Source organism: Homo sapiens, chromosome 11, assembly GCF_000001405.40.
Source record: "Homo sapiens chromosome 11, GRCh38.p14 Primary Assembly".
Lineage (NCBI taxonomy): Eukaryota > Metazoa > Chordata > Mammalia > Primates > Hominidae > Homo > Homo sapiens.
Window position 1 is genome coordinate 64,958,342 of NC_000011.10, and position 20,190 is coordinate 64,978,531.

General features: G+C 47.5%; 1 protein-coding gene across 9 annotated transcripts in view; it reads right to left on the reverse strand.

Moving 5' to 3' along the window:
* MAJIN (membrane anchored junction protein) overlaps positions 1–13,767 on the reverse strand; it is a 33,879-nt gene extending 20,112 nt beyond the window's left edge. For 6 of the 9 annotated variants that reach the window (NM_001300803.2, XM_047426798.1, NM_001037225.3 and 3 more), the window contains exons 1-3: positions 13,536–13,767; positions 1,748–1,794; positions 964–1,081 (exon numbers count right to left, since the gene is read on the reverse strand). In NM_001300803.2, coding sequence (NP_001287732.1) covers positions 964–1,064 — 101 coding nt within the window. In that variant the 5' untranslated portion in view covers positions 1,065–1,081; positions 1,748–1,794; positions 13,536–13,767. Of the gene's footprint in view, positions 1–963; positions 1,082–1,747; positions 1,795–8,259; positions 8,351–13,535 lie in introns of those variants that run through there. The other 3 variants (XM_024448447.2, XM_047426796.1, XM_047426797.1) reach the window with 2 other exon arrangements.
* Positions 13,768–20,190: the final 6,423 nt, after the last annotated feature.

The window sequence follows — 20,190 nt, forward strand, 5'->3', positions numbered from 1 at the left end:
CTGGTGGCTCATGCCTGGAATTCCAACACTTTGGAAAGCTAAAGAGGGAGGATCCCTTGGGCCCAGGAGTTTGAGACCAGCCTGAGCAACACAGTGAGACTTCATTTCTACAAAAAAAATTTTAAAATTAGCCTGGTGTGGTGGCACTATGCCTGTAGTCCTAGCTTCTCTGGAAGCTGAGGTGGGAGGATCCCTTGAGCCCAGCAGGTCAAGGCTGCAGTGATCACACCACTACATGTGAAACCCTGTCTTGGGAGAAAAAAAAAAAAAAAAAAAGAAAGAAAAATTGCAAGGGAGTCGAGATGAAAAAATATATATATATTTTGAGATGGAGTCTCACTCTGTGGCCCAGGCTGGAGTACAGTGGCACAATCTCAGCTCACTGCAACCTCCATCTCCCAGGTTCAAGCAATTCTCCTGCCTCAGCCTCCTACCACCATGCCTGGCTAATTTTTGTATTTTTAGTAGAGATGGGGTTTCACCATGTTGGCCAGGCTGGTCTTGAACTCCTGACCTCAAGTGATCCATCCACCTTGGCCTCCCAAAGTGCTGGGATTATAGGTTTGAGCCACTATGCCCAGCCCTGAGATGTAAAATTTTGAGAAACACTGCTTCAAAGATATGTTGTCCTAGGCTGGGTGTGGTGCCTCACACCTATAATCCCAACACTTGGGGAGGCAGAGGTGAGAGGACTGCTTGAGGACAGGGGTTTGAGACTAGCCTGGACAACATAGCGAGATCTGCTTCTCTTCAAAAAAAAAAAAAAAAAAAAAGTTGTCCCTCATTTAGAAACTCATATGAATAATATATATACTGAATATAAAATTCCTGGGAAAGACAGTCCTGCAAGATGCTACTTTACCAGTCTCCTGAACTGGGTGAAGGTAAAGAAGAGGTGACCTGTGGGAATGCACTAGCACTAACTGGTGTTTGCATAGGCTACCCTCCTACCTTTGAAATTACCTGATACTCTTCCCATATCTGATTTTGAATTTATACACATTGGGTCCTGCATGAAGAAACCTCGTCTCTGGAAACGGGTAGGTAAAGGGTTTTAAACTCATTGCTCCCAAACGATAGCCTAAATAAAATAGAAAGAGAATTACTAAAAAGCTAACGATTGTTCCTTATTTACAGGAAAGGGAACCTGCCCAATCTGTAACATCTCTTCATGAGTAAAATGTCCAACACTAAGCACTACTGCCTACGTACCAGGATCATCACTTGGAACATTCTCCTACCTGCATGGGGAGAATACAGTGTGTTGGGATAACCTTTATGCTTGCAGTCAAAAGCCCAGAATTCAAGTTTGATCATTTATGACCTTATGCAAATCATTTCTCTTCCAGAAGACTAATGATACTAGTATCCGCCCTGATGACTCAGAGTCTTTGTTAGAATTAAATGTTTCTCCCAAGTATCTCTTGAATCTGTTCTTCTCTACCATCCCCACTTCCACTGGAATCTCAGTGGATACAGAGAGGGCTCAAGTTAAATAATGACACAATCCAAAGGATACACCAATTACAAGCCAATTAGGAGGACGTTTGCTATCAATTTTAGATGAAATTAAGGTATTACTACAACTTCCTGCCACAACCAATGTAGCAAATAAGGATGTACACTCATGTTTTTGAGTGGCACCAAGGAATGGCTTATTTTCCAGATCTATCAATTACTCTTCCTTTCCCCCACTTGTGAGGCTTCCCTGTGTTCCAAGAGTGCCTACTATACCCCTAGCACTTACTGTTTTATTTCTCCTGTTCTAGAATCTCTGTCCACTTAAGGTCGTCTCTGTGGGGAGTTAAGGGGAGAGATGGAAAAAATAAAAATAAATAATTAGAGGAGATCCAGAGTTCCTAAGGATCAAAACTAGTTATATACATCAGTACAAGTATAAAAATTACATGGTATTGGTTTCAGAGGCAGCTGAGATGCAGTCGACAGAATGGGCCCAAAATAAAGAGAATCTGAGTTTGAATCTCAGTCCAATGTCCCTAATTTCTGAGCCTTGGTTTTCTTACTTACACAATAACAACTCTCAATAACAACTTTTGCCATGCCCTATTCTAAGTTTAATCTCACTTAATCCTCACAACAAGCCTATAAGTCTAAATTTGATAGGTGAGGAAACTGAGGCACTGAGGAATGAATTAAACTGCCCATAGCTATGAATGTTGGAATTTGAATTTAAACTAAGGCAATACAGATCCAGAATTGATATTCTTTAACCACTCTGCCAGTCTGCTTCCTGGGGTTATAAGGAGGAAAAAACAAGACAATAAACATAAAATCACTTTTTAAGCAGTAAAATATCATATACACATAAAGGACTATTTTCATTATGCTTTTCTCCATATTATTCTGATGCCATTTCTACTCAGCAGGGAAAAATTTTCTATGGTAGAAACTCTTCCATGGTAGAGTCACAAGTTCTACGTGCCCGAAGAATGGAATTTCCCACAATTTCCAAAGTTCAAGTCTGGGGCTGCCAGTAAAGAGATACCCCAGTATCTGATCTTGGCTGCCTGAGATTAGAATGACATGAGTGGAGCCAGAGCCCATGAGACTATTTAGACTAGAATTGCAGTCAAAAATGAAAAGAAATAGTTGTGCCAACTGCAAAGTCCCCGGAGGGGAAATACTGATCATATCCTGAGAAAAAACTGATGCCCCATACCAAAGGCATGGCAGGAACCCAGGCTAGTTTTGATGTTTTAGTGCTAGATGACTCTTCTCAGTAGGCGGTGAGCCCACCTGGTTAGACTTACATTGCTGCCACAGAAATTTAACTCTTAATTCTTCCAAGGATTATTTTTTTGTTTTTGTGGTTTTTTTTTTTTTGAGTCAGGGTCTCACTCTGTCACCCAGGCTGGAGTGCAGTGGCATGATCTCGGCTCACTGCAACTTCTGCCTCCCAGGTTCAAGTGATCCTCCTGCCTCAGCCTCCCGAGTAGCAGGGACTACAAGCATACACCACCACGCCCAGCTAATTTTTGTATTTTTAGTGGAGACGGGCTTCACCATGTTGGCCAGACTGGTCTTGAAGTCCTGACCTCAGGTGATCTGCCTGCTTCGTCCTCCCAAAGTGCTGGGATTACAGGCATGACCCACTGTGCCCGGCAATTTTTTTTTTTTTTTTTTTTTTTTTTGAGACGGAGTCTTGCTCTGTCTCCCAGGCTGGAGTGCAGTGGCGTGATCTCTGCTCACTGCAAGCTCCACCTCCCAGGTTCACGCCATTCTCCTGCCTCAGCCTCCAGAGTAGCTGGGACTACAGGCGCCCGCCACCAAGCCCGGCTAATTTTTTTGTATTTTTAGTAGAGACGGGGTTTCACCGTGTTAGCCAGGATGGTCTCGATCTCCTGGCCTTGTGATCCGCCCGCCTCGGCCTCCCAAAGTGCTGGGATTACAGGCATGAGCCACTGCGCCTGGCTCTTTTTTTTTCTTTTCTTTTTTTTTTTTTAAGAGACAGGGTCTTGCTCTGCCATCCAGGCTGGAGTACAGTGGTATACCCATAGCTCACTGCAGCGCCAAACTCCTAGGCTCAAGGGATCCTCCCACCTTAGCCTCCAGAGTAGCTAGGACTACAGATGCATACCACCATGCCCAGCTAATTTTTAAAATTTTTGGAGACAGGGTCTCACTATGTTGCCCAGGCTAGTCTTGAACTCCTGGCCTCAAGTGATCCTCCTGCCTTGGCCTCCCAAAGTGCTGCATTACAGGCATGAACCACTGCCATCTGGCCAGGGGATTCTACTAGGATGCAATAACTTGCCTCCCGCCCCACCCCTAACAGAGGGATGGGGCATCAGAGCAAAGGAAATGAAGGACATTTGCTGGAAATGACAGTCCGAAGAGGAAATTTCATGTGTTGTACCACAGCTGGCTGTCTGAAAGAAGAAAAAACAGCCCTCTTCTAGCTAGGGCCTGTTCCTGTTAATTGCTGGCTGCCCGATTCAGAAACAAACACCATACACTAATTACCTCATTTGAAAATAAAGATTAGACAGTGTATCCCAAACAACCACATAGGAGTAATGGTTCAAATATTTCACAGGGTTATTTTCCAACATTGAGTACTGTGGCCATGGTGATATTACGTCCCAGTAACTATTATTAAGTTGATGAGATCTTGCTTATGAAGGGTCAGACTCTCCACGCATTTTTAGGTGACCACAAATCATGGCTTTAAAACAAAGGAAGAAAACTTACAGGCAGTATGGGATAGTGCAAAAGACATAAGATTTGGAATTGGAGGACCAAGGCTTGAGTCCTGCTTCTGCCTCTATTAGTCATTAGTCCCTGAGCAAGTCACTTAACTTCTTCATTTCCTAGTTTCTATGTCTACAAATGGGGATTCCAACGACCCCTGGAATGTGGGGATTAAATGAGATAATGCTGTAAGTAGCTACTTTGTAAATTCCAGAGTATTATATAAACGTTAGCACTTACGATAGATTTGAAGAGTTTCTCCCTAATGCTTCACTAGAAAAGCAAATTCAAGGCCAGGCATGGTAGCTCACGCCTGTAATCTCAGCACTTTAGGAGGCTCAGGTGGGCAGACCACCCGAGGTCAGGAGTTTGAGACCAGTCTGGCCAATGTGGCGAAACCCCGCCTCTACTAAAAATACAAAAATTGGCCGGGCGTGGTGGGGGGCACCTGCAATCCCAGCTACTCGGGAGGCTAAAACATGAAAATTGCTTGAACCCAGGTTGCGGAGGTTGCAGTGAGCCAAGATCGTGCCACTGCACTCCAGCATGGGGGACAGAGTGAGAGTCCATCTCAAAAAAACAAACAAAAAAAAGCAAATTCAAGAGAGCACTACTTTCCAGGAAATCAATTCTTGAGACAGCACATACGTGCAAAACTGATTAGCTTTAATCCCAATGCAAAATCTGACAAATTCCAACCAAGAACTTTTCCTTGAAAATACCCAAGAATTAGATGTAAATGACACATAGGGACTGATGTTTGAAGGAAAATTATTTTTCAAGGTTTTGGTAATTTGCTTCACATAAACATCTGGATCAGTGCATAGAACCTGAAGCAGGGCCAAATGCTATATGAGGATAATAATATTGACTACTGAGGCAGAAGGAGCTTATGATTTAGCACTCTGCTACTAAATATGTCTGGTGACAACTGATAAAGTCTTTCACAGTGTTGAGAAATAAAAGAGCTTCCATAAGCACTTATTCAAAATACATTGACTGGGCTGGGCGCAGTGGCTCACGACTGTAATCTCAGCACTTTGGGAGGCTGCAGCAGGTGGATCACCTGAGGTCGGGAGTTTGAGACCAGGCTGGCCAACATGGTGAAACCCTGTCTTTACTAAAAATACAAAAATTAGCTGGACATGGTGGTGGGCACCTGTAATCCCAGCTACTTGGGAGACTGAGGCAAGAGAATCGCTTGAACCCGGGGAGGTGGAGGCTGCGATGAACCAAGATTGCGCCACTGCACTCCAGCCTGGGCAACAGAGCAAGACCCCATCTCAAGACCATTAATGAGTGTGGGTAACAAAATATAATATGAAAATCTGATGCTATGAATCCAACACCTGTGTTTTAGAAATGAGATTGAGGACAGATGACTAGCTGCTCCTTCCACATTGTTTTTGAGACGGAGTCTCACTCTGTTGCCCAAGCTGGAGTGCAGTAGCATGATCTCAGCTCACTGCAACCTTTGCCTCCCAGGTTCAAGTGATTCTCCTGTCTCAGCCTCCCACGTAGCTGGGATTACAGGCATGCACCATCACACCTAAATTTTGTATTTTTTTTTAGTAGAGACAGGGTTTCACCATGTTGGCCAGCCTGGTCTTGAACTCCGGACCTCAGGTGATCTCCCTGCCTCAGCCTCCCAAAGTGCTGGGATTACAGGCGTGAGCCACCGCACCCAGCCTCCTTTCACTTTCAAAAGTCCTTGGCTGGTCTCAGAGGTCTGTCCACCTTTGCTGAAGTAGATTCAGCCTGTATGTCCAACTAGAGACTCATGAACGCCTATAGCTGGAGATGCCTTCCATTTTGGTGGGGGATGATAGGGAAGTGACTTCTCCAAAGAAGGAAATGACTTCCACAAAGTTACATAATCCAAGATTAGCCCCTCAAGATTGTTGACTTCTTTGGCACACACGTTTTTCATTACAACATATCACTCGGTCAGTCATTTTACCAAACTGTAACCCTGGTCGCGCTCACCACTCTGCGTGACAAAGGCAATTCATTCTGGATACAAAAACATCAAAGCAAAATTTAATTTTTTTTTTTTTTTGAGACAGAGTCTCACTCTGTCACCCATGCTGCAGTATGATGTCGGCTCACCGTAACCTCTGCCTCTGAGGTTCAAGCAATTCTCATGCCTCGGCGTCTCGAGTAGCTTGTACTACAGGCACCCACCACCACACCTGGCTAATTTTTGTATTTTCTGTAGATATGGGGTTTCGCTATGTTGCCAGGCTGGTCTCAAACTCCTGAGCTCAAGAGATCCACCCACCTTGCCCTCCCAAAGTGCTGGCATTACAGGTGTGAGCCACTGCACCCGGCCTAATGTAAGCTTTTTGATTAAAGCTTCTTAGAATTATAATTTTGGACATAAAGGGTTACATCCACATTTGCTTGTCATAAAGCTCTATTATTCTCAGTTTTCTCACCTTGCATGGTGATTAGGATGATTAGTGAAATAATGCATGTATAATTGTTTTTTCTAGTACTTAGTACACAGATTACTGGATAAAGTCTTTTTTATAAGTGTTAAAATATGGAACAGGAAGAGACTAATGACATAAGACTACCCAGAATACTTCCATGTTTATTGACATCATTCTGTTTTCTCATAGGTTTCTTCCTGCCCTTTCTGGTAAGACACAACCTTTAAAATGCCACTTGTGCAGGAATGGATTTGCCCTTAGAACTGTGTCAAACTTAGTTTTGTTTTGTTTGGTGGGAGTAGGAGGAATAACTAAACCTTGTTTGGGGGTAGGGGGGATAACTAAACCTAACAGAGAATTAGGAAGCTGTTCTGAAGTGAGATCAAAAGACCTCAGTGGGTAACTCAATAAACCAGAAAGGAGTCTAAATTAACCTCTTAAGTTAACTTAGTTTCTCTTTGTTACTCTTTGCACTTAAGTTACTCTTAAGTTACTCTTTGCACAAAAATGCATCTTCCCCTTTCACCTTAACCATCCTAAGAGCTAATGAAAAACGACCTTTGGCCAAAAGGTCCAGGATGTGCTCCTTATTCTGGAAATGCAATAGCGTCTCACCTCACCACCCTGTCCAGTAGTTGTGGCTTGTTACATGAAAATTAACCTGTCCCTTAGAATTCACATCATGCGGCTGGGCACAGTGGCTCATGCCTGTAATCCCAGCACTTTGGGAGGCCGAGGCGGGCTGATCACGAGGTCAGGAGATCGATACTATCCTGGCTAACACGGTGAAACCCCATCTCTACTAAAAATACAAAAAATTAGCCAGGCGTGGTGGCAGGCGCCTGTAGTCCCAGCTACTCAGGAGGCTGAGGCAGGAGAATGGCGTGAACCCGGGAGGCAGAGCTTGCAGTGAGCCGAGACTACGCCACTGCATTCCAGCCTGGGCAACAGAGCGAGACTCTGTCTCAAAAAAAAAAAAAAAAGAATTCACATCATGCTGAATTCACTGCAGCACTCTAAAATATCCTACCAACCGCAGGAACCCAAAAAGCACTTGGATGTAAAACTGCAAGCAAGGAAGGACATTTTATTTTTTTGATTACACCATTGGGTGAGCTGCCCAGAAGCAGTACATGTAAGGAAGAAGATTAAAAATGAAAAAAAAAAAAAAAAAAAAGCAGCAGCAGCAGTAGTTTCAGAAGGGCAAATGATGGAGAAAATATCCTTAGCTGGAAAGAAAGAAAGCAATTTTAACAATTGATACAGCCAGGCACAGTGGCTCACCCCTGTAATCTTAGCACTCTGGGAGTCCAAGGCAGGAGGATCACCTGAGATCAGGAGTTCAAGACCAGCCTGGCCAACATGGTGAAACTCTGTCTCTACTAAAAATACAAAAATTAGCCAGGCATTGTGGTGGAAGCCTGTAGTCCCAGATACTCGGGAGGCTGAGGTAGGAGAATTGCTTGAACCCAGGAGGCGGAGGTTGCAGTGAGCCAAGATTCTACCACTGCAATCCGGCCTGGGCAACACAGAGTGAGACTCCATCTCAAAAAAAGAAAAGAAAAGAAAAAAGAAAAGGACTTTTTATATAAAGAGGGCAAATTTTACTAACCTTAATCCAATTCTGGTGAGATATTAAGGAGATAAGAATTGTACTCGTGGCCAGGCGTGCAGTAGCTCACGCCTTGTAATCCCAGCACTCTGGGAGGCCAAGGCAGGCGGATCACTTGAGGTCAGGAGTTCGAGACCAGCCTGACCAACATGGTGAAACCCAGTCCCTACTAAAAATACAAAAACTAGCTGGGCATGGTGGCAGGTGCCTGTAATTCCAGCTACTCAGGGGGCTGAGGCAGGAGAATCACTTGAACCCGGGAGATGGAGGTTGTAGTGAGCTGAGAACACACCATTGCACTCCAGCCTGAGCGACAGAATGACTGTCTCAAAAAAAAAAAAAAAAAAGAAAGAAAAAGAAATGTACTTGCTAGGTTTATAGAAAGATATACTTGGCCAGGTGTTGTGGCTCATGCCTGTAATCCCACTTTCAGAGGCTGAGGCAGGACTACTTGAGCCCAGGAGTTCGAGACCAGCCCGGGCAACACAGTGAGCCCTCGTCTGTATCATATAAAAAAAAGAAAAAGGCCAGGTGCTGTGGCTCATACCTGTAATCCCAGCACTTTGGGAGGCTGAGTCGGGCAGATCACTTGAGGTCAGGAGTTCGAGACGAACCTGGCCAACGTGGTGAAAGCCCGCCTCTACTAGAATATAAAAATTAACCGGGCGTGGTGGTGGCGCCTGTAATCCCAGCTACTCTGGAGGCTGAGGCAGGAGAATCACTTGAACTCAGGAAGCAGAGGGTGCAATGAGCCGAGATGATACCATTGCACTCCAGCTTGGGCAACAAGAGCGAAACTCTGTCTCAAAAAAGAAAAAGAAAAAAGAAAAAGAAAAAGAAAAGAAAAGGAAAAAGAAACAAAGTGCTGGTTTCCCCGTAACATGTCAGGGAAGCCCATTCTAAGTAAGTGACTAATTTCTAAAGGAAGAATATGAGCTAGTGAGGCACAAATGGAGAATGGATGGTGGGTCTGGGGTGGGTAGAGGAAATAGCAGGTACAAGAGTACTCAGTTGAGAAAAAGCATGGCACTTTCAAAAGAGAGAAGTACAGTAACCCGAACACAGTGGGCAAGAAAGACAATGCTACAAGGTGAGACTATACAGATAAGTGAGTCAGTCAGCACATATCTGAGACCCTACAGTGTATCAGGCACTGTTCTGGGCACTAATATGGTAAGTAACAAGAGAGACATGATCCCTCGTCTTTAAGGGCTTACATTTCAGGAGGTGTGGAGAGCAACATTCAACATATAAATAAATAAACAAATATAAATTGAGGTACTCTAAATAGCATCAAGAAAATAATATGTGGTTTTATTTAGGATGACTAGAAGGCTGCTTTAGCTAGTATGGCCAGTGATGGCCTTTCAGAATAAATCACAACTGACTTGAGGCCTTCATGGAAAGGAGCAACGATCACGGGGAAAAGCATTCCAAGCAGAAAAATCAGCAAGTGCAGATGTCTGTGATGAGTTTAATGGACAGAAAGGTCAATGTGGCTAGAACATTGAGAATGAAGAGAGAGAGGAGGGAGATGAAGATGGAGTGTTAGGCAGGGACCAGATCGTGTAAGGCTTGTAGGCCATTGTAAAAAGTCCAGATTTTATGCCAAGGATTTTATAAAGGGGAGATAACTGATTTGATATATGCTTTATAAATATCTAAATATCTATTCTAATTTTATTTTAGAGACAGGATTTCTCTCTGGCGCCCAGGCTGGAGTATAGCGACACAATCACAGCTCAGGGCAGCCTCAACCTCCCAGGCTCAAGCAATCCTCCCACCTCAGCCTCCCAAGTAGCTGGGACTACAGGTGCCCACCACTATACCCAGCTAATTTTTGCAGAGATGGGGTTTCACTATGTTGCCCATGCTGGTCTCGAACTCCGGAGCTCAAGTGATCTGCCCACCTCGGCTTCCCTAAATGCTGGGATTACAAGCATGAGCCATCAGGCCAGGCATGGTGGCTCACGCCTGTAATCCCAGCACTTTGGGAGGCTGAGGCGGGCGGATCATGAGGTCAGGAGATCGAGACCATCCTGTGAATGGTGAAACCCCATCTCTACTAAAAATAAAAAAAAATTAGCTGGGCGTGGTGGCGGGTGCCTGTAGTCCCAGCTACTCAGGAGGCTGAGGTGGGAGAATGGCACGAACCCAGGAGGTGGAGCTCGCAGTGAGCCGAGATCGCACCACTACACTCCAGCCTGGGCCACAGAGCGAGACTCTGTCTCAAAAAAAAAAAAAACAAGAATGAGCCACCAAGCTTGGTCCAAAATATCTAAATATCTGGTGACTGAAAGGAAGATGAACTGTAAGGGGACAGGAGGAGAAATAGGGAGACCAGTTAAGAAGCTTCTGTAGTCGTCCAGGAGAAAGATGCTGCTGATTTGGACTTGGGATTTTAGAAATTAATAAATAGTTAGATTTGAGATATACTTTAGACTAACTAACGGACTAGATGTGGGAATCAAGGATGGCTCTCAGATTTTTTTGCCTTTGCAATTAGGTAGACAATGGTACATACTCTACTGAGATGGGGAATAATTCTAGGGAAAGAGATTTGGGGTGGGAGGGAGCAGTGAAAATTAGTAGTTGTGTTTTAAGTCTAAGAGGCCTATGAGACATCCAAGTGGATATACCGAGGAGGCAGTCTCCTAGTGTGTAAGGGACAGAAATCAGAACGGAAATATACATTTGAGTCACCAGTGTTTAGATGGTATGTGAAACTACTGGAATAGATGATGAGATCATCCAGGAAGAAATTATAGAGAAGGGATGAGGGCCTTCCTTATAAGCCAGGTTACAGATTGTGGAATCTGTTGTCAGAGCAATCAGAAGGCACTGAAGGGTATAATAAAAAAAAAAAACGACATGACCAGATGGCTGTGACTTAAAAAAAAAAAAAAATCCCTCCTGGCTGCAATGTGGGAAACAACCCGGAACAAGAACAGATGAAAGGAGACCAGCTAGGAGCCTCCTGCGGCTCAAGGCAGAAGCTGACAGTAGCCAGGTCTACAGTGATAAAAGTGAAGATGACAAAAGGTGAACTGATTTGGAAGATGGTACTCAGGAAGCTGAGGCAGGCAAGACTCTGTCTTTTTTTTTTTTGAGACGGAGTCTTACTCTGTTGCCCAGGCTGGAGTGCAGTGGTGCGATCTTGGCTCACTGCAACCTCTGCCTCCCGGGTTCAAGCGATTCTCCTCCCTCAGTAATGACCTGGTGACTTGATAAGGTGAGGGAGAGCGATGACTCCTGGTTGCTTGAGCAACTAACTGAAGAGGTAAAAGCACCATTTTCTGAAAACAGGAGCCTTGGAAAGTAAATTTTTGAAGGCAAGATGTTGAGTCTGTATCTGGAGATGCTGAAGTTTGAGATGCCAATGAGATAGCCAAAGAGAGATTCTAGATAAGACTGCTGGAAACTGGCTTCCTACCTGCAGATACATACATGAAGGAACTAGAGTTCAAAAAAGTGAAGGATGGGCCAGGCGCAGTGACACTTGCCTGTAATCCCAGCACTTTGGGAGGCCAAAGTGGGTGGATCACCTGAGGTCAGGAGTTCGAGACCAGCTTGGCCAACATGGTGAAACCCCATCTCTACTAAAAATACAAAATTAGCCAGGTGTGGTGGCAGACACCTGTAATCCCAGCTACTTGAGAGGCTGAGGCAGGAGCATCGCTTGAACCCAGCAGGCAGAGGTTGCAGTGAGCCCAAATCTCACCATTGCACTCCAGCCTGGGGGACAAGAGCAAGACTCCGTCTTTTTTTTTTTTTTTTTTTTTTTGAGACGGAGTCTTGTTCTGTTGCCCAGGCTGGAGTGCAATGGTGCGATCTTGGCTCACTGCAACCTCCACCTCCTGGGTTCAAGCGATTCTCCTGCCTCAGCCTCCCAAGTAGCTGGGACTACAGGAGCCTGCCACCACACCCGGCTGATCTTTGTATTTTTAGTAGAGACCAGGTTTCACCATGTTGGCCAGGATAATCTCCATCTCCTGACCTTGTGATCCACCTGCCTCAGCCTCCCAAAGTGCTGGGATTACAGGCATGAGCCACCGTGCCTGGCCCACACTGTCTTAAAAAAAAGAAAAAAAGAAGAAAGAAAAAGAAAAGGATGTTCGGCAAAGTATACCTGCTGGCATCTTTCTGCCCACTTGCCCAGATGCCAAGATTCAATCAAGGCTCTGGGGAGTGGCACAGAGATCTCAGTGCCATGACTCATATTTACTTGCAAGGTGCAATCGGGCATTTGAAAGCCAGAAACTCATTCAAATCAAGACATGATGTGACAGGAAATGTTTCAGTGGAAAAAATCTTGTTTTCATGGCAACAGCTAGGCTGGGGTTGGAGGGTGGGTATAGACCAGAGGAGCACTTTAGTTCCTGGGGAAAGTCTGTGGTAAGAAGGTGGGGTGTGGCCGGGCAAAGCGGCTCACACCTGTAATCCCAGCACTTTGGGATGCCGAGGCGGGTGGATATCCTGAAATCAGGAGTTCGAGATCAGTCTGGCCAACATGGTGAAACCGTCTCTACTAAAAACACCAAAATTAGCCGGGTATGGTGGCGGGCACCTGCAATCCCAGCACTCTGGGAGGCAGAGGCGGGTGGATCACTTGAGGTCAGGAGTTCAAGACCAGCCTGGCCAACATGGTGAAACCCCATCTCTACAAAAATACAAAAATTAGCCAGGAGTGGCGGCGCATGCCTGTAATCCCAGCTACTCAGGAGGCTGAGGCAGGAGAATCGCTTGAACCCAGGAGGCGGAGGTTGCAGTGAGTCAATATCGCCCCCACTGAACTCCAGCCTGGGCGACAGAGCGAGACCCCGCCTCAAAAAAAAAAAAAAAAAAAAGGACGGAGGAAGTTGCGGGGGGGCGGGGAAGGAGGAGGAGGAGGAGGGTGAAGCGCTGGGTGTGGAGTGGGGAAAGGGCAGTCTCTGGAGTCGGCGGACGACAGCAGGGTCCCCGTACTGTGTGCCGGTCACTCGCCCGAAGGAGGGGACAGAGGCCTGGAGCCCCCCGGTCTACCTCGCACGCTCCCGGCCTGCGACCCGCGCTCCGGTCCCGCGGCCTCCCCGTGGGAGCCCTGCAGTGGCACGGCCTGCACCCTGGGCGAGCTTGCTGGGTGTCCCGAGAGCCCGGCGCTGAGAAAGGGACCTCAGGGGGCAGGGGGGACTGCACTTCGGCGGCGGAGGGTGGAGCCCGGCCCGGAAACTTCCCTCAGAAATAAACAGAAACGCAAAGACAACTTCCCGAGGGCCCGGGCCGTCGTGTGCCGTTACCTCAGCCCCAGGTGGTTCCCAGGCTCGGCCAGGCTATGTCTCACACACTGACTAGGGGTCCTTCGGCCTCAGAAAAGTGGCCCCGGACGGAATACCCACTAAGAAGTGCTCTCTGAAAAAGGCGGGCGCCAACCTCGAACGAAGTCGTTTTGAGGGACTGGCTCGCCAGCTCCTAAGCAACTTCGGGGCTCGTGCCGCGCACCCACCAGGCCTTCTGCGCACGCGCAAGTGCGCTTCCCACCGCCCCTTCGGGCGCAGCTCCAAGGCCTGGCCGCGGTCTGCGCGTGCGCATTTCATTGTCGACACCGAGAGGACGCCTTGGCGCCTTCAGGTCCCTCCTGGATTTACCAGCCCATTGTTTATTTCGCGCCTGCTTTAGCGTGGTGTCGTCGGGAACTAGCGACTGCAGAGTCCTTACTGTGTGCTAGGCGTTATGCAGGGTACCTTCCTTTATTCCTCGGCGATATGCTCTGCGGCAGGCATTAATGCCCCAAATTTAGGATCGCTTGAGCTCAGGAGGCCGAGGCTGCAGTGAGCCGAGATCGCGCCACTGCACTCCAGCCGGGGCGACCAAGCGAGACCTGTTACACACACATACACACACACACACGCACTCCCACTTTTTTTCCTTAAATCTTATTTTTAAAAGTAGAGACAGGGCCGGGCGCGGTGGCTCATGCCTGTAATTCCAGCACTTTGGGAGGCCAAGGTGGGTGGATAACCTAAGGTCAGGAGTTTGAGACCAACCTGGCCAATGTGGTGAAACCCCATCTCTATTTTGTAAAAATACAAGCTTAGCCAGGCGCGGTGGCTCACTCCTGTAATCCCAGCACTTTGGGAGGCCGAGGAGGGCAGATCACGAGGTCAGGAGATCCAGACCATCCTGGCTAACACGGTGAAACCCCGTCTCTACTAAAAATAACAAAAAATACAAAAAACTAGCCGTGGTGGCGGGCGCCTGTAGTCCCAGCTACTCAGGAGGCTGAGGCAGGAGAATGGCGTGAACTCGGTAGGCGGAGCTTGCAGTGAGCCGAGTTTGCGAGATTGCGCCACTGGACTCTAGCCTGGGCGACAGAGCAAGACTCCGTCTCAAACAAAACAAAGCAAAAACAAGATTAGCCAGGCACGGTGGGGCACACCTGTAATCCCTGCAACTCGGGAGGCTGAAGCACAAGAATCTCTTGAACCCGGGAGGCAGAGCTTGCAGTGAGCTGAGATCACACCATTGCACTCCAGCCTGGGCAACAAGAGCAAAACTCCGTCTCAAAAAAGAAAAAAAAATCGGGGGGAGTGGGGGCCTGGGCGCGGTGGCTCACATCTGTAATCCCAGCACTTTGGGAGGCCAAGGCAGGCAAATCACGAGGTCAGGAGTTCAAGACCAGCCTGGGCAACATGGTGAAACTACGTCTCTACTAAAAATACGAAAATTAGAGTTGGGCATGGTGGCCACGTGCCTGTAATCCCAGCTACTCTGGAGGCTGAGGCAGGAGAATTGCTTGAACCTGGGAGGCAGAGGTTGCAGTGAGCTGAGATCACTCCAGTGCACTCCAGCCTGGGCTACAGAGTGAGGCTCCATCTCAAAAAAAAAAAAAGAAAGAAAGAAACTGCGAAGCAGTTTTCCAGAGTGGCTGTACCATTCTGCACTCCCGTCAGCAGAGTGTGAGAATTGCTCTGCATCCTTGCCAGCACTTGATATTTTCAGTTAAAAATTTTTTGCCATCCTAATAGATGTGTAGTGGTATCTAGTTATAGATTTAATTTGCATTTCCCTAACGACTAATAACGTTGAGCACCTTTTTATGGGCCCTTGGGATTCTTGAGAATTAATAAACCTATACCCTAACTCAGAAACAATTTACAGTGCTAAAGAGACTCGTATGGATTCAGACTTAGCCTGCCATACTGGAACATTTCAACAGCAACGCTCGCAGATGACAACAGAATTCAAAGCACATATACCAGATCTGTCAAGCCAGCCAGCACATGGCAAAAGCCTGGCAACAAAAAATAGCATGCTGTGTGTGTGTCTGTCTCCAAGAAGTTCAGTGTTACTTAACTATAAGAAACAGGTGGCCGTGTGCAGTGGCTCACACCTGTAATCCCAGCACTTTGGGAGGCGGAGGCGGGCAGATCACCTGAGGTCAGGAGTTTGAGACCAGCCTGGCCAACATGGTGAGACCCTGTCTCTACTAAAACAAACAAAAAACACACCACAAAATCAGCCAGGCAAGGTGGCATGCACCTTAATCCCAGCTACTTGGAGGCTGAGGCAGGAGAATCACTTGAAATCGGGGGGTGGAGGTTGCAGTGAGCTGAGACTGCACCATTGCACTCCAGCCCGGGCAAAAAATGTGAAACTTCATCTCAAAAAAAAAAAAAAAAAAAGAAAGAAAGAAAGAAAAGAAAAAGAAAGAAACAGGTGTGGAGTGGCAGGAGATATGGTTGAGGGGAGACACAGGGGCTAGACTACGAAGAAGCTTGTGCTGAGGTACTTGAGGTACTTGAATTTATCCCTACAGCAATAAGATGCTCTTAAAAGTTGGATTTTGGTCTCAGAAATATGTTCCTGAGGCCAGGCGTGATGGTTCACACCTGTAATCCCAACACGTTGGGAGACAGGAGGATCTCTTGAGGCCAGGAGTTCAAGACTCGCCTGGGCAACATAGTAAGACTCCATCTCCACAAAAAAATAAAAAAAATAGCCAGACATAGAAGTGCATGCCTGTATTCCCAGTTACTCAGGAGGCTGAGGGGGAGGATTGCTTGAGCCCAGGGGTCCAAGGCTGCAGTGAGCTGTGATCATGCCACTGCAGTCTGGCCTGGGGGACACATCGAGTCCCCCCGCAAAAAAAAAGTTCCTGGAACCTGGCTTCTTCATTTTCATTTTCATTTTCATTTTCTGCCTGCTTATTCTTACTTATCCTTCAAGGCCCAGCCCAAATGCCACCTCCTCTGAGAAGCCCTCTGTAATCCCCCTAGCCAGAAGATCAGGTCCCTTTTTTTTTTTTGCCTTTCCTTGTATTGACTGGCCAGTCTGCTTGGAGGGTGGGAACTGCAATTTACACCACTTTGGGCTTTTTTTTTTTTTTTTTTTTTTTGAGACGGAGTCTCCCTCTGTCGCCCAGGCTGGAGTGCAGCGGTGCGATCACGGCTCACTGCAAGCTCTGCCTCCCGGGTTCACGCCATTCTCCTGCCTCAGCCTCCTGAGTAGCTGGGACTACAGGCATCCACCACGACACCTGGCTAATTTTTTGTATTTTTAGTAGAGACGGGGTTTCACCGTGTTAGCCAGGATGGTCTCGATCTCCTGACCTCGTGATCTGCCCGCCTTGGCCTCCTGAAGTAGTGGGATTACAGGTGTGAGGCACCGCACCCGGCCACTTTGGGCTTCTTATGTGGCTTGACAAGGGATCTAGCACATAGAAGGTGCTAACCCATGTTTGATGAATGTTGATGAATTTTCAAATGAAGGAAGTTTACTGGGCAATCCAGCTCTGGAGTCCTGTCAGATTACACCAGTATTAGTTCTCAAACGTGGGCATGCATCAGAACTACCTAGAGGGCTTGTAGATTGCTGGACCGAGCCCCCAAGTTTCTGATTTAGTAGATCTGGGGGTCTGAGAATTTGCCTTTTGAACAAGTAAGTTCCCAGGTGCTGCTGCTGCTGGTAGAAGGGACCATACTCAGATAAACTTTGGATGAAACATTCTTTACATGTGGCTGTGGGTATAGTTCAAGTGCTTCTGAGAATCAAGCTCTGGCGGGGACACTCTCAAGGGACCATGAATCCTGTGCTTTATCACAACCATCTGACCACCTGACCCTTCAAGGGATGTCCTTGGTCTTGACTACTGTCCCACTCCTTTGACTTGGAGGCAGGATTACTTTACCCTCTCCTGGTCCCTTTATTTATTTTAATTAATTTATTTATTTTTGAGACAGAGTGTCGTTCCAGTGTCGCCCAGGCTGGAGTGCAATGGCACGATCTCGGCTCACTGCACCCTCTGCCTCCTGGGTTCAAGCAACTCTCCTGCCTCAGCCTCCCAAGTAGCTGAGATTACAGGTACCCACCACCAGGCCTATCTAATTTTTTTTGTATTTTTAGTAGAGATGGGGTTTTGCCGTGTTGGCCAGGCTGGTCTTTAACTCCTGACCTTTGGTGATCCACCCACCTCGGCCTCCCAAAGTGCTGGGATTACAAGCGTGAGCCACTGTGCCTGGGCTATTTATTTATTTATTTGAGATGGAGTCTCGCTGTTGCCCAGGCTGGAGAGCAGTGGTACAATCTCGACTCACTGCAACCTCTGCCTCCTGGGTTCAAGCAGTTCTCCTGCCTCAGCCTCCCAAGTAGCTGGGATTACAAGTGTGCACCACCACACCCGGCTAATTTTTGTATTTTTAGTAGAGACGGGTGTTCACCATGTTGGCCAGGCTGGTCTGGAACTCCTGATCTCAGGTGATCCGCCTGCCTCGGCCTCCCAAAGTGCTGGGATTACAGGTGTGAGCTACCATGCCCGGCCCTCTCCTGGTCCCTTTCTCCCAGGGACTCCCAGAAAGGCTTCTCAGAGGGGCCCTGGTCACATTGTCACATTCTGTAACTGGCTTTCCTCCCCCTAAGCAGTTCAGTCTGAGAGCCCCAGAGAACAAAACAAATCCTGTCCTAGGAAGAAGCCTAGCACCTACTGAGGAAGAATTGAGTGCTGGGAATAGGGCCCCCATTAACAGCCAGCCCCTGAAGCTCTTAGGGAAATGCTCTGCAGACCCATGATCTCCCCAAGAGGGTCAGAACCAGGTCTTGTTCCTTAGAGAGCTGCTGCTGCTTCTTGGGCCTGTGCAGCTTCCCAGCCTCCAAGGCTGAGGGAAGGAGCCACTTAATCAACAGCTCCATTTCCTGCAGCACCTGGGGCTCCCCAACCCCTACCACCTCCCTTTGGGCTTCCCAGGTCAATTACCTGCCAGGCAACGGGCCTCAGCTCAGAAAATCTGACCAGCCAGAGACTGGTCTGACGGGGCCATGGGGAATTGAAATGACTTGACTCAGAGAGGCAACCCTGGGGGTAGGGACAGGGGGATCTGCCCCCACCCTTAGGGTAGTGTAATTCAGTCTTCAGTTTACCACTCCCTCTCTGTGTGTTGGGTGTCTGACTCACAGTAAGGCTGTGAAACCCATTGACCATCCAGGTATGAGCCTTGTGGAGATTGAAGAGGTGATGGGGTGGGATAGGTTTGCTCAAAGAGGCCTCCAAATCCTTCCAGGCTCAGCCCAGACCTTGAAGGCCTTTTTGCAGTTTTAGTAACACGAGCCGATTCCTGCGGTTGGTGGCTGTCACAGGACAGAAGCAGAGGACCCCAGCAAGGAGGTGAACCACTAACCCGGGAGTCCCCTCCCCAACCACAGAGATCCTTCAGAAGAGCTCTCTTTGGCTATGTTTTGTGTTTGAATCTAACTCAAAAGACCAAGCTGTTAGAGGCTCAAGTGTTCCCAAGAATCGTCCATGAAAACTGTTGTAGACACTGGGTCCAGGCCCACCCCAGGGAGTCAGACTCAGGAGTCTTGGCATGATTGAGAGATCTGTCCTAGGTTATTTTTACCCTGACTGGAGTCTCTTCCCTGTCCGCCCCCTCACCAGATAAACAGAAGCCAAGACACAAGGAGGAAAGCTTGCAAGGGCCTGGGTACGCTGTCGGATGTAGTGGAGGCAGGACTGGCCTCTCTGGAGAGACTTCAGCATTCTCTGCTTTGAAAAACGGGGCTGTAGACCTTTTAAAATGGCATGCATTTCTGCAGGAACACAAAGACACTTACAGTCCCCAAGGAATAGTCTCTCTCCTGCAGGATGGGAATGCCCCCAGAAGGCACTGAACCACTAATCCAAGAGGAAAGTTCTCAGATTCCTTCTTGCCTCAGGTCCCCCATATCAGACCTGAGGTTTTTCCTTCAACCCTCCCTGAGCACAGGCTCTGATCTGTCCATGGTTCTGATTTTTAATGGATTTCACTTGGGGGCAAGTCATGAGTTTTTTCATTCACTTGGAGTAGTTAACACTTACTGAACACTTACTATATGCCAGGGACTGTGAGCTACTCCTTACACGCAACCCCCTTTTTCCAAAGTAACCAGACATAATAGAAAAAACCACAGGTCAGGCTGGGCGTGGTGGCTCACGCCTATAATCCCAGCACTTTGGGAGGCCGAGGCGGGCGGATCACGAGGTCAGGAGATCGAGACCGTCCTGGCTAACACGGTGAAACCCCGTCTCTACTAAAAATACAAAAAATTAGCCGGGCGTGGTGGCGGGCGCCAGTAGTCCCAGCTACTCGGGAGGCTGAGGCAGGAGAATGTCGTGAACCTGGGAGGCGGAGCTTGCAGTGAGCCGAGATCCCACCGCTACGCTCCAGCCTGGGCGACAGAGCCAGACCCTGTCTCAAAAAACAAAACAAAACAAAACAAAAACCCACCACAGATCATAAATGTGTAGCTCAGTGAATTTTCTTTTTCTTTTTTGAGACAGAGTCTCGCTCTGTCGCCCAGGCTGGTCTTGAACTCTTGGGCTTAAGCCATCCTCTCACCTGGCTTCCCAAAGTGTTGGGATTACAAGTGTGAGCCACCATGCCTGGCTGAACATATACTTTTCTATTATACCTATCGTATTAG